Source organism: Homo sapiens, chromosome 4 (genome assembly GCF_000001405.40).
Source record: "Homo sapiens chromosome 4, GRCh38.p14 Primary Assembly".
In the NCBI taxonomy this organism is placed as follows: domain Eukaryota; kingdom Metazoa; phylum Chordata; class Mammalia; order Primates; family Hominidae; genus Homo; species Homo sapiens.
Window position 1 is genome coordinate 25162705 of NC_000004.12, and position 19517 is coordinate 25182221.

General features: G+C 40.4%; 1 long non-coding RNA gene across 1 annotated transcript in view, besides 1 other annotated feature; it reads left to right on the forward strand.

Annotated features, from left to right (window-relative positions):
* The window catches only part of SEPSECS-DT (SEPSECS divergent transcript), a 37835-nt gene that overhangs the window by 2033 nt on the left and 16285 nt on the right, over positions 1-19517 (forward strand). The gene's annotated exons all lie outside the window — the stretch shown is intronic.
* Positions 18062-18131: an enhancer, noted in NCBI's record as "active region_21371". NCBI's record gives its function as "activates an Ori minimal core promoter by ATAC-STARR-seq in GM12878 lymphoblastoid cells {active_cell/tissue: GM12878}" and the evidence as "EXISTENCE:reporter gene assay evidence [ECO:0000049][PMID:35858748]".

The window sequence follows — 19517 nt, forward strand, 5'->3', positions numbered from 1 at the left end:
ACCTTATTCACCACCTTACTTCAGAAAAATGTTTGTCTGTTTCCAAAAAGTTAGTCATTGTCAAGATATGCATTCATTAAAGGTATTCAAAAGATACCAGCTTTGGAAGCAATTTCAAGAGAAGTATTCTAAAATTACTTTCATCCATTCACTCACCCAACAAGTATTTATCCATATGCCCATTTTACAGATCAGGAAAGCAAAGCTCAAGAAGTTTGAGTAATGTATTTAAGGTTATACAATGAGTGACACTAGCAGAATTTAAACCTGTGTGTTCTGGACCTATTTTAAATGATGCTATCTATTAAAAATAGTATGTAATTATTATTTTAAAATAGTAGTTTGTAACTACTATTTTAAAATAGTATGTAATTACTATTTTTAATAATAGTATGTAATTACTATTTTTAATAGGGCAACATCAGAATAACCTCATGGTCTTTACAAGATGAAGCATCATTTAAAATAGGTCCAGAACACACAGGTTTAAATTCTGCTAGGGTCACTAGTTGTATAACCTTAAATACATTACTCAAACTTCCTGAGCTTTGCTTTATCTGTAAAATGGGGATATGGAAGAGGCAGTTATGATGATTAAATGAGAGGTAATTGCTCAATGACATCTTCCCCTAGATAGACTGACTATACAAATGGACAATGGCCAGATCATATGTGATAACAGAACTCTCACCCACAACCTCTCTAGCAACTAGACTTCCAAACCACCACCTCTGCAGCAATCAGCCAAGAATGGTTAAGACTTGGGCAATGACTGCCAGCTTCCCTCTTTTATTACTCGCTTCTAACTTAAGACCAACCAGAGAAAGCTAAATATCCTCCTTAAATTACATAAGATGCCCTGTTTCTAGTTAGCCAACCTCTAGCTTCTCCTTGCCAACACCTCCAATCGGCACACCTGAATTCTTCCCTGTACCTGAATCTTTCACTATAAAGCTTTCCCACTCCCCTGCCTGCCTTTGAGACTCTTGACAAATGTAAATGATGGTGACTGACTCCCTTCTCTAGCACGCTCTGAATTTCCAGTTTTCCTGGAGACTTCACTGAGACATGGTCTGTGCTGTCCATGGCGGTGGACCTCAGCCTTTGGCCAGTTGTGGTGCCCACAGGGGCTCCTCGTGCCTTGTTGCTTATGGCTTGTCAAGTCCATGCCAACATGGTAAGTCAGTGCTGGCTTGGAACTCCTCCCTGTTTGCCTTGAGTTCCTAAGCTATTCATTTGAAGTTTGGTACTCAGATTTTGTTACTGGTTCCTATTTGCATCCTTAGTGGAATCAGGCAATTCCTTTTCATCCTTTGTGCTGTCCTTTGTACTTCTGTTTTGTATTGTGCTATCTAAAAGTGTTATTTTCCATAAGAAGGAGAATCATAGGGTAGAACATGGCCATGGGCCCTACAACCCTGTTGTTTAAGCCAGTTTCACAGACCGATGAGTTTGCAGTTCTCACCAGACTACATCCGTTTGGACAAATTTTGTTGTGGGTCACCAATAAAACTGGATGAAGTTCTCCCTTCATCTTGATTTTTTGTTCTGAGGGCTTGCTTTTGATCCAAAGAAAGAGGTCATTCTGATATTCTGCCTGCCAGGGGGCACAGATTGTTCGGTCTGTGTTCAAAAGGGGCAAAAATCAGGCTGGGGACTGAGACAGGATAAGCACGAGCATAACTTTCAACACCGTAGCCAGCTCTAAGTCTAAATCCTCTCCACCAGGAAAAACTTCTGCTTCTTATACATACTCTCATTACAATCCTAATGCTTGTGCCTATCTCTCTAAGTGGCATAACTTCAGCAATGAGGAGTTGGGCCTTCAGTGGCCACTCTGGGAAACACTTGACTTGACAAAATTTTTTATTTGATGGGCAAGAAAAGAAAGGGAATTAAGATTTCTTAGGTTTGATGGGCAACAGTTTTTTAGTGGTACACAGAGGCCTCCAAAGGAAATTCTGATTCAAGAATTATTCCACTAAAAGATGCTTTGGCTAAAGCTAACAAGCAATTTGACATCTTAAGCAACAACAAACTAGACTCATTTCCTAGTAAATCTTCCCCTTTGCGTTGGCTCCCTATATCCAGATGTCCCTCTTATCCCTTAGCCTTCTGATAGCTCTCTTTCTTCCCTTCCATCAACTCCCCCCTTCTCTTCCTCTTGTCCAGGACTCCTGCATTTTCCCAACAACTCTCCTAAAACTCTAAAATGTCAATTGCTTCTAAAGATCCCTCTCCCCTCAAAAGCCAGGTATGCAGGCAACTGCAGAATTTAAACTTTGCACCCAAGATGAATTAAGAGCAATAATCAAGAATTTCTCTACTTCCAAACAAGACCAGCAACTATTTATAGAAGAATTTAGGATTCATTTGAATGCATATGATTCAGGGTTACCTAACCTAAATATATCAATGTATACATATATTGGCCAGATCCTCAGGTGTTAAATCTTGGATTTAAAGAAAAGCTGATTGGACTGACATGAGAAGGGATCTACAAGGATCGCTTTTTCCCCAATAAACTTAAGCGTCTGAAAAAAAAAAAGCCCTGAAAAGTAGAACACAGCCTCCTAAAAGCAATATCCCAAACGTTTTCTATAAAAATCTGTTGTACCATAATTCAATAATGCAAACACAGACAAGATGAAACTATAGGAGATTTTCAGGATAGACTGTAATATACCTCCTGACAATATTCAGGAGTTAACAACGGTGCCAGTGTAACAGCAGCCCTTTCGTCTTATTTTGTCAATGGAGTTAAATCCGAAACTAGAAGGCTAATTCAAAAGTAGAAATTAGAATGGAAAATAGCTCTTTACCTGAACTAAACACCTGTCAGAACATTTTGAAAGGGCTTTAGAATAAAAATGACACAAGGCCCAAAATAAACTATGGTCTTACAGATCAAACAGCTAGGTGGCCCTCCTCCCACCAGCCATTTTGGCAAGGACACTTACAGATATTGTAAACCAGAAAAAAAGATTGTCCTATCTTATAAAAGAAAAACCAAGACAAAAAAAAAATCCCTCAATTCCAATCAATGAGAGTGCTCTCAGAAGAAGAAAAATGCTCCCAATATCCTGCCTTGCCCTTATCTCTCAAGTGAATTAACTATATAGATGATGGTATAGTCTGAATGCGTTCCCCAGAATCTATATGTTAGAAACTTAATCCCCAAGGCAAATGTGTTGGGGGATGGGGACTAATGGGAGATATTTAGGTCATGAGGATTCTACCTCAGGGATGAATTAATGCAATTATAAAAAGAACTTGCAGGAGTAAGTTCATTCTTTTTGCTCTTCTGCCATGTGAGGACACAACATTTGCCCCCACTTGCCCTTCCACCTTCTGCCATGTGAGTACCATAGCAAGAAGGCCCCCAACAGACACCAGATACCAGCGCCTTGATCTTGGACTTTCCAGCCTCCAGAACCATGAGAAATACGTTTGCGTTCTTTATAAATTACCCAATATTCTGTCATAGCAGCATAAATCAATGAACACAGATGGTCAATCTCATCAATTCCTGGTAGGTACGTCTGCTGCTCTTTCTGCATTAAACTTCACCACCTTTGCTGAGCCTCCTCCTCAGAGTAAGCATACACACAAGTGGTAGGTCTCTCAAATAACCCACAGATTTTTTTCTATCTCCCAGCCCTTAATTGTAACCCCTTGAGTGAAAACATCCCTTCCTGGTCTGTGAAACTGCCCCTGTAAATTTAATAGCCTCCTCTTTGCAAATGGAATCATAATATTAAATGTGCAAGAGAGGAATTGTTTCTTAAAGTTCCAGAAGACTCATCTATTCATAATCAAGTTGTGCCTACTGTGGATATACCTTTACCTCCTCCATTATATTTGATGGATACCCCCACATGAAGGTCTTCACACTGTACCTGACATTTTGTGGCCTTAAAAGTCCACAGACATAGAAAAAAATAACTGGAGTAGAAACTGAAGAGAAGATAGGTTGTACCAAACTGTTACCCAATCATGCCCAATATCCCTTGAAGACAGAGCAAAGGAAGATTTTAAAGGTACATTTGAAGGCCTTATATCTAATGGTCTTTTCATACCCTGCACTAGCGTTTGTAACACTCTAGTCTTGCCAGTAAAGAAACCAAATGTGTGAGAATATCAATTTTGCAAGACCTCAGGATAATCAACAGATTTTTGTTCCTTGCTTCCCAGTAGTACCTAACTCAGATACCATCTTGGCATCAATTCTACCTGAAACCACTTGCTTCACTGTAGTGTATTTTTGCTCTGCCTTTTTATTTATTGATTGATTTATTTTGGATGTGCCTCTAGACCACTTCTAGGACAGTAAATACCTTTTAGCTTTCACCTGGAGAAGATAACAATATACCTGGACAATCATGGGTTTTATTGAAGCCCCCTCCTGTTTTTCCCAGTTCCTCAAACAGTTCTTAAAAGATCTGAATTTCTCTTGTGATTCAGTTCTGATATCATATGTAGATGATCTATTTTACTCAGAGAACAAGAAAACTTGTAAAAGTGTTCCATTTACTTGCTCTCAGCCTTAACAGAAAAGGAACAAAGTTTCAACAGAAACATTTCAAGTTTTCCAAAGTACAATCCATTATTTAGGACATGGTATGTCTAAGGAGGGAAAAACATTCTCTCATTAGGCAAAAGATTGTCCAAACTTATTTTAGACCTCTCACTAAATGACAGTTGATAGGACTTCTAGGTTTAACTAGATATTGCATACAAATTTTCTGAGATTGTGATATCCTTTTATGAATTGACTCAGACCTCAGGAAGAGACTTTTTCTTCTGGGAACCCAAACTTGGAATAGGCTTTCTGCAACCTGAAGAAAGTTCTTCAACAGCTTCTTTCACTGGTCATCTTTAACTACAAAAATCCCTTTGGTCTATTCATGTATAAACTATATGGATAAGCCCTTGGGGTTTTAATACAACTTGATAGGAACCATCAAAACTCATGACTTACTATATATAGCCTTACCTTTGATCTGGTTGCAAAGGCTTTCCTCTCTTATCTGTGTCGAAAGCTGCAATTCTGACCAACATGGTGAAACCCCATCTCTACTAAAAATACAAAAATTAGCTGGGTGTGGTGGTGGATGCCTGTGGTCCCAGCTACTTGGAAGGCTGGGGCAGGAGAATTGATTGAACCTGGGAGGCAGAGGTTGCAGTGAGCTGAGATGGCACCACTGCACTCCAGCCTGGGTGACAGAGCAAGACTCCATCTAAAATATATATATATTAAATAAATAAATAAGTGGGTGAATCTAGATTAACATTATCTATATAAAAATTACAATACAGTGTTGTAGGGTTTAAAATATGGAGAAAGAACATTATTGGCATTTATTTAAGTAGAGAGGAGGTAAAGAAAGTAAAGTGTTCTAAAGGCTTTCTAATCATAGAGTGGCTCATAGAGCTTATTAGAAGGCAGAATCTCAGAACTATCATTGAATCAGAATTTCTATTTTAACAAAATCCTCTATGATTCATATGCATATTAAGGTTTGGGAAGTATTGTTCCCAAAAGGTGTGTATCATCTGAAAAGGGAGTAAAAGAACCAATTGATATTAGATTTTTGCATATCTAGAATTTATTTTGTAGTCTCTATGGTAACCACTCAAGGAATGCTAAAAGACTGCATAATTTTCAAACACGGGGGAAAGTGAAAAAGTAAAAAATAATCAGCTCAAAATAAACCAAGGAAAGAAAGGAAAAGAAACAGAACAGGTTGAATACATAGAAACCAAATATAAGTAAGCAAAATATCCATATTAGAAGACAATGATTATCCGACTAGATTTTCAAAGACAAAAACAATTACATATACAAGATGATGTTTGTATTTCCATGTAAATGTGTATAGCAATTTACAATTTATAGTTTTTCACATACGCTAAGGCTGAGAAACATTAAGACTAGGTTATTAATAACCTGAAGAGCAGTGGGTTGTCATATTAAGGTCCTCTACAAAGTAACATACAAATCCCAGGATGATACCAATCTAGAAAATCACTTATACTCTTTAAAATGACCGGGTGCGGTGGCTCACACCTGTAATCCCAACACTTTGGGAGGCCGAGGTAGGTGGATCACGTGAGGTCAGGAGTTCGAGACCAGCATGGCCCACATGGTGAAACCCTGTCTCTACTAAAAATACAAAAAATTATCCAGGTGTGGTGGTGGGCGCCTGTAATCTCAGCTACTCGGGAAGCTGGGGCAGGAGAATCACTTGAACCCCAGGAGGTGGAGGTTGCAGTGAGCCGAGATCACGCCATTGCACTCCAGGCTGGGCGACAAGAGCAAGACTGTTGTCTCAAAAAAAAAAAAAAAGCCTTTAATAAAACTATGGGAAAAAAAAAATTTTATTACATACTGTTTTAACCAGGAATGTATCTGAAACAAAAGGCTACAGAAATATTGAAAATTGAAGGTAAAATAATGGAAAAAGATATTACATGCAAATACTAACAAAAAGAAAGCTAACATAAATTATTAATTTTAGACAAAGTAGACTTTAAGATAAATGACATTACTAACCATGAAAAATACTACATAATGATAAAAGGTTTAATTTACCATTATCAATTATTGTATGAGAAGATATAATAATTCTAAATTTGTATACACTTAATAATATAGTTCCAAAATACATAAAGCAAAAAATGAAAAATCTAAAAGGAAGAATAGACAAATCTGCAATCTTAGTGAAATTTTATGACACCTTTTAGAAACTGATAGAATATGTTAATGGAAAAAATTAGTAAAGATATAGAAATACCATGTTTAACAAACTTGACCTAATATACATTCCTAGAACACTGTACTCAATAACTGCAGAGTGAATATTCTTTTCAAGCTCATAGGGAATATGAACCAGAATAAACTATATGCTGGTTCATAACATAAAACAAGTCACAACAAATTTCAAAGCAGTGAAATCATGCAAAGTACATCCTCTGACACAATGCACCTAAGCTAGAAATCAGTAACAAAAACAAGGCTTATTTAGAAATTAAGCAATATTCTAAATAATCCATACATCATAGAAAATGTTACAATAAAAATTATAAAATATTTTCAATGGAATGATAATGAAAATACCACACATCAAGACATATGAGAGGCAGCCAAAATCATGCTTGTTGGAAACATAATTTTAAAAGCATGTAACAGAAAATAAAAAAAAAGCTAAACATTTATGAGTTAAGATTTTAATATCAAGAGTTGGTAAAATAATGGAAAATATATACTGGGAAGTTTTTAAAAGAATGGAAAATAAACCTAAAGGAAATTAAAGAAAACAAATGATAAGATCGGAAATTAGGAAATCTAAAATGTCTCAGTCCATTAGAGCAAATCTCATGTCCCCCACCTCCCCCTCTCCACTCCCCACCACCTAGTCCAGACTTCTGTCTGCTCCCCTTGGACAAATGCAGTGGCCTCTGCATCCTCTTTGCCATCATCCCCTCATTCCAGTCCACTCCTCACTGAGTCGTGAGAATTCCTTAAGTAGACATCTCCTTCCTCCCCTGCTTGGAACCCTTCAACCGTTCCCATCACACTGAGCATATGATCGCAACTCCTTTCCTTGACCTATAAGGCCCTGCAAGGTCTGGCCCCACTGATTTCAAGGATCAGCCTCCCTCTGGCCAGTGGGCTTCCACCCTGTGCACCTCCTTGCACACTGGAAATACACCAGCCTTTTCTTTTCCCACCTCACACCTTCCCACATGCTGTGCCTTCTGCCCCAAATGTTCTCTTCATTTTGCGTGGCAGCTTTTTCCTTTTCCTTCAGTGTAAATGTCACCTCCTCTGAGAAGCCTTCCCTTTCCATTTTGTCTAAGTAAGAACCTAGTTTTGAGGAAAAGCCCTATATATTCACTTTAATTTTTTTTTTTTTTTTTGAGACAGAGTCTTACTCTGACACTCAGGCTGGATGGTAGTGGTACGATCTCAGCTTGCTGCAATCTCCGTCTCCCGGGTTCGAGCGATTCTCCTGCCTCAGCCTCCCGAATAGTTGGGATTACAGGTGTCCGCCACCACGCCAGGGTAATTTTTGTATACTTAGTAGAGATGGGGTTTCACCGTGTTGGTCAGGCTGGTCTCGAACTCCTACTTCAGGTGATACTCCTGCTTCGGCCTCCCAAAGTGCTGGGATTACAAGCGTGAGCCACCACACCTGGCACCCACTTTAAATTATTGTATGAGTTGATCGCTTGTATAATATCTGGATTGGAAGCGTCTGGAAGACGGGAACCCTATTTATTCACCTACTCTTCTGAGCACTTAGCATAGTGCCTGGCACATAGTAAGCATTCACAGTTTTGGATGGATAAATGATAACAATGGATTCCAAGGGTTGCTTTTCTTTTGGTGGTTACTGAATGAACCCAGATGTGGAGACAGGAGAGAGAGTAGGGACCAGTGACAAATAGGCGACACCTCATATTTTGAGAGTATTTTAAATTGAAAAGGAGACGTTTTCTAATGGTGGATACAAATAGGCAAATAATGACCACATTGCTTTACCATTCCATCCGCGTATGTTTTACAATGTTTAGGGTAGAGGAAACGACAAGTCTCTTAAGAGGCATGGCAGGATCTGACTGTCATCAACCTCATTAATGAGGCCTCTTAAACAACTTGAAGCGGAATAATTTCCCTAAAAAAGCCGCTTCAAAGAGCAGTTGGAAGTGGAGAGTGAGGGAGTAATAGAATCAGTAACTAGGTTGCTGAGAGAAGTCTCCTGTGATTAGAAAAAGAAAAAAATGTAGTAATTACATTCTGTGGAGACTAAGAGAACTCAGAAACCATGGTCTTGCCTTCATCTTTATTTCTAATGGAGAGAGATGAAATAAAATCTGTGGATGTAGCAGAAGGTCATTTAAGGCCTTCCCTGTGATGAGTAAAGCAATCCTGTCCCCAGAGGGAGGAAAGATACGTAGAGAAAGCTTCCTTCAAACACTAAAACTGCTGAAATAGTTATAATTCCCAGTAAAAGCAGGAGCAAGAGAAAAGCTGCAGGAGATCTGTCGGGAGTCCGTGAACAGGCCTGGAGCCTGGGGCTTTTGCCACTTGAAACAGAGTGAGGGAGAACTTCAGGGGCCTTTGACTTGGAGAGACGGCGGCTGTGGGGAGGATCAAGTACTGGCGGGGAGTGCAGTCTCTGGAATCAGACAAATGGAGTTCCAAGCCTGGCTCCCCTTGTTGCTCCAGCATAGGTTTGTGCAAAATATCCCACACCTCTAGGCTTCAGCTGATTCTTCTATGAAAGGGGTTAATAATAAAGAGGGAAGGCAATGACCACGTGGTAGGGAGGGACTCCCTCTGCCTGCCCTCGCAAATGTGAGGGTTCATGATCACAGCTGATACAGCTAGTCGTAGCCATGGTGGCGAATAGGCCACTTGATCCTAGATGTGTGGAGAGTGTGGACTGGCTCACTTCAACTCCTTCCAACCAACCTTACCAGGGGCTACAAAACGACAAACTATATTCTCTAGGCTCCCTCCCAACTAGCATTCCAGAAACAAATCAAGTTTGGCCATTAGATTATACTCAACTGAGATTTGGAAGGTGGATCTGGTGGAGACCAACTTCCTGTTCCATGACAAGCCTTTGATGTCATTGGCAAACAAGGTAGTAGGAACATGAGGCTTTTCAGCCTTTCTGCATCCATTTTCCAGCCTTCTGCGTGTCTAGAGGCAGCGTGAGGAGCAGCGCTGTAACCAAATGCGGGTCCGGTTGCTTGTTGCCTACAGAGTTCAACAAGAGCAAGGTCTGGTGGAAAGAAAGTGACTTTATTAACCAAAACTAGTAATGGGAAGTGGCTGGATTCCCATCCAAAGTGACCACTTTGAATTTGGGGGGAAAGACAAGGGGCAAGGGATTAAAAAGGGGAAACTTGGTATGGAAGACATGCAAGAATTAGACTGAATACAATGTCTGTGTGTCTCATTCCAGTGGCTGTCTTGGGTCTCAGTCTACCTGGAGCATGGGCTGACATCATCTCCACAATGGCTGGGTTGTTCACTAGCCACCTTGAGATAATCTCTGGAATTTTGCAGCTGGGTCTCCAGGCTTGGTCTGCCCATCTCAAGATTAGCCCCTGGAACTTCTAAGAAGGCACATAATTAGATACTAGCGTACCGTTAGACAAATGTGGAGGGAGTGTATGCGGTGAGAAAGAGAGGGATGTGGAGTTTATTTTTTTGAAGGCTTCTGCAGTTTGCTTCAAGGTTACATCTTGAAACTCATTTTGAAGCCAAGCTGCTTGTTTAGTGTGGCTTCCTGATACGGGAACAGTCTCACAGTTGAAATCAGTAGCCCTAGTGGTGGCCTCAGAGGTAGTAGCTCTTCTGGTGGGTCAGTTCTGCTTTTTTCTGGGAGTCATTTCTGGAAACCTAGTCTAAAGCCCATACCCTTAGACCTTCCAATTATTGTGTAAACAGCCATTCCCTGAATTAAATCCCTTGGAAGTTAAGACATCTTGAGTCATTTCTTTCTCCTGCCCTCAATCTTGACTCTTACACCAGATTTTCGCATTTTTTTCCTTCACAATCCCAACTGTGTAGCACATTTTTATAAGTGAGAATTTTTTTTTTCTAGAAAAAGCATCATTCACTTCACTTGGTTGTGTTACTTTTCCTGAATTATTTACATCAATGGAAAGACTGACCAATCACCCCATTCCTACATAATTAAGCCTGAGGCATTGCCATTCCCTGGTGACAGCTGCACAAACTGCAACTGTAATGCTGGGCAGGGAATAATTAGAGTCAATAGAGCAACTTCACAATCCCAAGCCAATAAAGTGAAGCCTGATACTGATGTTTTAATGGAATATTGAAAATGAAGAGTTGAGAGAAAAGACTTTCTCCAGCATTGTCCAAGAGAGATAGAGCATTGATGACTCAATGAGTCTTCCTGCCAGTTTGGCAGATACAGCCTTTTAGTTGAGAGTGACTCACCATGCCTCAGTGGTGACTGTATTCCTTAAAAATAGCAGCTCCCGTTGCAATGGACTCAAATCCTTTTTGCAAGGAGGCAGGAAATAAACTCACTCTGCAACCTTCTTATTTCAACTTAGTTTCCCTATTGGTCATTCTAACCATCTGACATCTGTGCTGGTGTGGTTGTTACTTCTCTAAATCCATAGACACTAATAAATTAGCATTCTAGTCTTTTTTTTTTTTTTTTAGCTTCTTGTGAGACTGGTTACAATGATTCAGTTCAACAGAGCCTGATTCTCTCTAAGAGAACTGAGAAAAATTTGTGAACCTAAAGATCTGAGTCCAAATCTGAGACCCAAAAACCCATGAACCCTGAGATCTTCTTCTACCCCTAAAGCCTGATTTGCAGTCCAAGCGAGTGGGCAAACACACACTCTCTGGCCAATTCTTCATTATCTGCATGTGGGTCATTTGTAACCATTTATTTTCAATTATAAGACTAGTTGAAAAGGCCGGCCTCTTGAGTTCAAGAGATATGAGTTCAAATCTTGGCTATGCAGCTTCCTAGCTGTGTGATCTTGGACAAGTTACTTCACCTTTCTGTGCTTCACTTTCCTGATCTATAAGGAGTCAATAAGAAAACCCACTTGACATGGAATTAAAAATATATAAAGTAACTAGCATAAATAAATAATAGTGGCCAGGCATGGTGGCCCACATCTGTAAACCCACCACTTTGCAAGGCTGAGGCAGGAGAATCACTTAAGCCCAGGAGTTCAAGACCAGCCTGGGCAACATAGTGAAACTCCATCTCTACAAAAAATAAAAGATTAGCCAGGCGTGTTGACACATCCCTGTAGTCCCAGCTACTCCGGAGGCTGAGCTAGGAGGATCACTGTAGCCCAGGAGTTCAAGGCTGCAGTGAGCCATGATCGCGCCACTGCACTCCAGAACCTGGGCAAAAGAGCACTCCCCTGTCTCAAAAAAAAAAGTGGACTAGGGCTCTGTCCAAAGACAGATAGAAAAAGGGTTCCAGGAGGAGGAAAGTGTAGGAGGAACAGTGTGGTGATAAAAAGAAGCCTGATAGGCCTTTCTGTGACAGGTCTTAAAGGCCATTTTCAACTCAAATAGTCTGATTACAAAAGCAGCCACGAATGCTTCCTGCTCCCAGCATCCACGCCCTTAGGCAATCCTGTCTCACTCTGGACTTGGTCATGCAACTGGCTGTGACCAGCGGGATGGGTGGTAGCAAATGTGATTCAGGTAGAGGCATTCAAAGGGCTTGCACATCTGGGCTGACCCCAAGGATGTGCAGTCATCCCTCTGTATCCATGGGGGATTGGTTCCAGGACCTCCCAAAATCAGTGGACACTCTAGTCTCTTATATAAAATGCTGCAGTGTTTCCATATAACCTATGCGCATCCTTTTGTATCCTTCAAATCATTTCTAGATTACTTATGTTACTTAATACAATGTAAATGCTGTGTAGATAGTTGTTATACTAAATTATGACAAGAAATAATGACAAGAGAAAAATCTATATGGGTTCAGTACAGTCTCAATTTTTTCCTGAGTATTTTCTATCTGCAGTTGGTTAAAACCAGAGATGCGGAGCGCATGGATACGGAGGGCTGACTGCGCTTGGAACATTTCTGTCACCATGTGAACAAGCCTACTCTAGCCAGGTGGATGCTGTGAAACACGTGGCCCAGTCCTCTCCAACATCCCAGTCAACAGCCGGCACTGCCAGAGACATGGCAATCCAGCTCTCTGCAGCTGCCTATAGATTCACACGCAAGCCCAGTCAAGACCAATAGAATGGCCCAGTTGAGCCCTGTTCAAACTGTAACCCATAGAACTGTGACCAAAATAAATGGTAGTCATTTTAAGCCATTACATTTTGGGATGGGTTGTGAAAGAAGTAAAAGCTTGCTGAAAATTGGGGGGTGAGCATGAGAAGTGGGGGCAGATGAGTGACATAGGCAGGTATGAAATGCTATCCAGATCGATGTGCATTTAGGAAACTGGAGCATTCTAAATATTTGATTGAGCAAAATAACTATTTGCATAAATTTGCTTCAAGATAAATAGGTCGAGCTCCCCTTCCTTTTTCCCTTCCTTTTTTTCTCTCCTTTTCTCTACTTTTCCCTTCTTCCTTCCTCTCTTCCTCCTCCTCACAGAAAATAATAATAAATAAATAGGTTGACGAGTGATTACTGCCTGCAAAAGGTAGTGATTCATGATGTCTTACAGCCTTGTAGCTCTAGGTGCTGTCTGTGGACCGGAGGCATCAGCATCACCTGGAGCTTATTGGAAACATGGAAGTTGGGCCCCACTCTAGATCTAGTGATCATAATAGGAATTTCAACATCCCCAGGTATTTCTTTGGCGTGATCACAGTTTGAGAGGCACTATCCTATCCTAAAAACAGAATCCACATTGAGCACTCACGTCATTCTTTGCACTCTGCTTAGATTTTTTTAAAAAACTTCTTTAGCTGCTTCAACATCCCTTCGTTTCCACCTGCTCCCTACCATTGCATTAGTAAAACAAACAAAAGCCACCTTTATCCTTTGAATTGTATCATCACAAAACTGTGTGTGTGTGTTTGTGTGTGTGTGTGTGTTTTCTTGGGAACTTTGAGTGGACCCCAGTAAATAAAAATTGCTTTCCCCATCCAGATTTTGAACCAATTAAGAAATAAGACAAACGATAACGCAGATAGAGGCCAAGATATCATCTTTATCACTGTTAAAGGCTAAGAGACATTGCCAAATGAGCTTCCTCTATAGCATTCAGAATTAGCCAGATTTATCCATTATCAGTTGTGGTCCAGGGCAGTCTCACCCTGCCTTCCCCAAAAAGAAGGAAGAAAAAAGGACTGGTTGGGGGAAAGGACGGGAGTAAGAGATGGGCTGGAGAGAGCCAGGAGAGTAGCCTCTGCATAAAAGGAATCTCTAAGAATGGAGAAAGCCATGTGTGGTGGTGGTAATGAGACAGACACGTTCTATAAAATGCAGTCATCATCACATCTAGAAATGTCTTAAAATCTAAATGGTTTGGAAATGCTCTTTAATGATGACTGATGGTAATCTGTTAAAATGAAATAATACAGATTGTACTGTGTAATTTTTAAAAGTGATATTAGGTTTAGGTTTAAAGTTGATGATAACAAAGAACATGTTTGAAAGTTTATGTCTTATTTTTGTGGGTTTTTTTGTTTGTTTTTGAGACAGGGTCTCACTTTGTCACCAGGCTGGAGTGCAGTGGCATCATCTTGGCTCACTGAAGCCTCGACCACCTGGGTTCAAGCCATCCTCCTGCCTCAGCCCCACAAGTAGCTGGGACTATAGGTGCAAGCCACCACGCCCGGCTAATTTTTTGTATTTTTAGTAGAGACAGGGTTTTGTCATGTTGCCCAGGCTGGTCTTGAACTCCTGAGCTCAAGCAATCCATCCGCTTCAGCCTCCTAAAGTGCTGGGATTACAGGTGTGAGCCACTGCACCCAGCTGGTTTGAAAGTTTATGACAAGAATACTGCAAAAAAAAATGCTTGCCAGACAGAACATCTTCCTTTGACTCTTCTGTGAGTGAAATAAATGAACCTCTGTTGTTTCAGCCACTGTACAAATATTTCTGCAGTGATGCAAAATAGATGTTACTGAAAAACACACACTCAGCAAAAGCGAACATTAAAAAGACTGCTTTCAGGAATATCAGGATTATAGTCAGACCACTAAAAAATTTATGCAGCTTTGTAACTAGAACACTAACAAAACAGTATTGGTACCTTGAGAGAGACAACTTGGACAGTCCAGGCAGGAAGCTCAACACGTTTGGAAGTTGCCTCAAGGCTTTAAAATGCTATTCAAAATAATTGTGGAATATCACAGAGATGAAGAACAGATTAGCCATTGCTGGGGTTAGGGATGGGTGGAAGGGGCGAGGTATGGCTGTGAAGGGAGCCTTGTGGTAATGGAACAATTCTGTAGCTCAGTTGTGTAGTGGCTATATTAATCTATACATGTGATACAATTGCACAGAGCTGCACACACACACACACACACACACACAGTATATAAAAATGATCAAATCTGAATACACTCTGTAGATTGTACCAATAAGCAATTTCCTGGCTTTGTTCCTGTACTGTAGTTGTGCCAGATGTTACTATTGGGGCAGCTAGGTGCAGGGTATATGGAATACATATAGATAGCAATTTCCTGCAAAACTATAAATTTCTCAAAAATCAAAAGTTAAAAAAAACATTGGCCAGGTGCAGTGGCTCACACCTGTAATCCCAGTACTTTGGGAGGACAAGATGGGCGGATCACCTGAGGTCAGGAGTTTGAGACCAGCCTGGCCAGTATGGCGAAACCCCATCTCTAATAAAAATTCAAAAAAATTAGCTGGGTGTGTTGGTGGGCACCTGTTAGGAAGGCTGAGGCGGCAGAATCACTTGAACCTAGGAGATGGAGGTTGCAGTGGGCCGACATCGCGCCACTGCACCCCAGCCTGGGTGACAGAGCAAGACCCTGTCTCAGAAAAAAAAAAAAAATTTTAATTACCGGGCAGAAGTGCTATCTGTGGTTGTAGAATCAATGCAGATGGAAATGGAGCCCTGAGCCAGTGGCACTGTATCTAGGCAGCCAGAAAAGGAAGTGTAACCTGCCCTGGGCATGGCTGGGCGTCTGCCTGTTTAAAAAGGATGCTCAACATGTTGTACTTATTTTTATTTTCTCAACATATACCAGAAATAGTTCTTGCCTGTGTATCAGCCAACCTAAGGATATTCTCCCCCTTTCTGTTGAAGGTTAGAATTCTATTCTCACTACTCAAGCTCCTCTTCTTTCAACATATGTTAGCGTTTTGAATTTGATGTGTTCTCTTTATTCAGGATCTACGTAGCCATTTAGAAAGGTATACTTGATTGCAAGCGGGACATTTTCCAAATATAAGCCATAATATATGTAAGGATCAGAGAGTCTTCTGGGAAGATTTGAATCATGTGAACAGACCTCCCTTTTGTGCAGATACTCAGGTGTATTTCTGGGAACTGGCTTCTGCAGACTGTTGATGTCCCCATGTGTAAATGAATACACAGGCTCAACAAAACTATAGTTGGTGACTGCAAAAGCCCTCAACTCAAAGGTCTTAACCATCATTGCAGAGGAATCACCAGGGGCATTTGTTTAAAATGCACATTTCCTGATCTTTTCCCAGAGTTTCTGAATCTGTTGGTCTGGGGACAAGGTCCAGGAATCTGCAGTGTCACATGCACCCAGGGCATGTTGACGCTGTCTCTCTGAGGACTGCTCTTTGAAAAACAGGCTTATATCACAACAAGAAGGAGGCTGGCCCACTAGCTTTTAAGTATTTAGCTGATTTCCTGCTGAAATAGTGCAATGTGGTTAACAGTGAGCCTTGGAAGAGATGAGTAAAGGTGATGCTTCAAAGACATGCTGAGCAAACTGAAAAGCAAGTTAAAGCGCCGTGACATTGCTTCCAAAAGCCAAGGATTGACAGCAGCTGACAGTCATGCTGGTACCTGTGTCACCTTTGAATACAAAGAACATTGGGCATTTTGACTTATTTCAGCAGGGATAAAATGTTAGGGAGGAAAATATTCCCCTAACTGCCTTCCTCCTCTGAAACATCAATGTAGAATAATAATGCCTTCTACTCATGTATCAGCTTTCCAATCACCAACTTATTTGAAGGCATCACAAAAGAGACCTTTTAAATCATCTACCCTTAGGCAAATAGTACATTTCTTGAAATTCCTTGAATGTTGAAAAATGTACTTTTGAAAAAGACATTCCAAGACATTCTTTATAGCTTAGAAACATTTCCGTCTCAGGATGTTAGGAGATATCCAGGTGAAGTAAAAACACAGAAGGAGGCAAAAAGCTGGTTGGCAGATTATTCAGACATCCAGGAAAATTCTATGCCCATGTGACTCTGTGTTGCATTTGAATTTATAAAAATCATGAGATCTGTGTTTCTCCAAACACTGCTTCAACCATTCAATGAAAAACATCCTTCTTGCACTCTTGGAGACACTGAGTTCTGCCTGGTCCATTTTTAGGACTTGCATTTGGAAGACCTTCGCCTCAAGGACTAGAGTTCATTGTTTTTGTATATTCAACATTTAGTATATTATCCAATGTGTAAAAGATATTAAATAGTGTTGACAGATTGAAGGGCCTCTTCTAGATGGCACTAACTAAGGGGAATTTAGAATGGGGTGGAAGGAGGAAAAGGAAAGGTTATTACCAGACCCATTCTCTCCTTTTGCTTTGAAATTCATGGTACTCGATAATTGGTTCACATCCAAAGAGTTAACTGAACTAGATGAGGTGCTGTGTAACTTCTGCAGGCCAGAGGGAAGAGAAGAGAGTAAGAGCTAACAAGTATTCAAAAAAAAAAAAAAAGAAAAGAAAAAGCTGAAACCTATAGTCTCAGCTGCTTGGGAGTCTGAGACAGGAAGATCCCTTGTGCCCAGGAGTTCAAGTACAGCCTAGGCAATATAGTGAGCCTTCGTCTCTAAAAAAAATTTGTTTTTAGTTTTTTAAAAAAGAAAAAACAATAGAGCTAGAGATCTTCAACAAGTAAGACCCAGTGTCAAGGCAGGCCACTCTAATTAGATATTTGGATCAAATATAATTTAAGGTTAACAATAATTACTGCACCAGACCCTTTATTTGAATTATTACATTTAATCCATACAACAAACCTATGAAAAGGAATAATCTGTAAGAGGCTTATTGCAGCCCCAGCCACTATCACCTGATGGATGCCCAAATAATTGTGTTTTAATAAATGAAGGAATGAGTGAGGAAATCTTCACCTTTGCAGGTAAAGAAACTGAGGCTCAGAGAGGGAAGGGAGCTGTATTTGAATAGCCATTCTATATTTTCAATGTGCTAATAATAAATGTGGTTTCATGTAATCAAGTTTATTAACTGTGCTCATACATGTTATTCTACTCTCAGTGTGACCTCCAAGGTCTACCAGTTGTGAATCTTAGCAACCAGTAGGTGGCGTCCCCATGCAGTATTAATACTCAATGCTCATCCAGTAGCAGCCCCTTCCAAATTGAGGAAGTAAGACCCCTCTGGAGCACTTCAAAATAGTAATTTATAAGTAAGATAAAATGATCATTGAAAACTCCTGGAATTGCATCCCAATGGCTTTTATAAATGTATTTTTGATAACGGAGTGAATTGTGCTACCCCTCCCCCACAAAAATATGGTCACCCCTAATCTCTAGAGCCTATGAATGTGACTCTATTTGAAAAAAGAGTCTTTGTGGATGTAATTAAGTATCACAAGATGAGATCATTCTGGATTACCTAGGTCATTACCTAAATCCAATGGCGTATCCTTATGAGAGCAGAAGAGGAGAAGGTCATGTGAAGACAAAGATAGAGAGTGGCAGCCACATACCAAAAGATGTCTGCAGCCACCAAATAAGTAAAACTGTTTCAAAATCAAGGCAGTTCGCTTAATAAAATCATGATGTTTCAGTCAGGCATACTGACTCACACCTGTAATCCCAGCACTTTGGGAAGCCAAGGCAGGCAGATCCCAGGCCAGGAGTTCAAGACCAGCCTGGCCAACATGGTGAAACCCCATCTCTGTTTAAAAAAAAGAAAAGTAAAAACATTTTAAAAAAATAATAAGATAAACATGATGTTTTAAACTCAAGTACTTAACCAAAGTATTCAACCTACAACATTATAGGTCTTTGATGTGTATATTACTTTGAACATGAATGTTTGTATCATTTGTGAGACAGAATTATATTGGAGATGTGTATTTTGATTTCCCCAAAGATAACAAACCTTGTCTCTTTTCTAAGATCATACCACTCCCATACATCATTCAAGAACAATGAGGCATTCAATTATCCATCACAACTTTTCCAAGCGCAGTATTAGAAGCAACCCAGGGACCATGGAGAGATAAATGTGCATTACAGTCATCTCTGAATAAGCCATTCTTGTCTTATTTATTATGACCTTGCATAGGCACTCATTCAAATACATTCAGCAAACACTTATAATGTACCTAGCAGGTGCCAGGTGCTCTACTAGATGCTGAGCAGTCAACAATGAATCAGATCTAGTTCTTGAAGTTCAGTTGAAAAAATCAAAGTCACCTAGGAGAGAAGAGCAAGGAGTCAAATATGGTGCATGTGACAAGTGAGAATGGGTAGGGGTGGTGGAAGCACACGTAGGAGGCAACCTTCACTCAGGGCCAAGAGTGGGAAGAGGAGGAGATAGCGCCCAGGCTGCATCTTGAAAGCACAGTTAGCAGAAGTAGGGACTGGGACACATGGTGGGAGGAAGCAGCAGCAGGAGCAGAGATGTCTGGGAACCAGCCAGAGAGTCACTTTGTCTGGACTGGAGACTTAAATTGAGGAAAGGCCGGATAGGCAAACAGAGCCATGAAGGGGAAGGGCTTTGGTAAGGGGTTTGAATTTTCTCCTTAAAACAACAGAGCATCAGTAAAGGGCTTTATATCAGTTACTGAGTGATAGGAT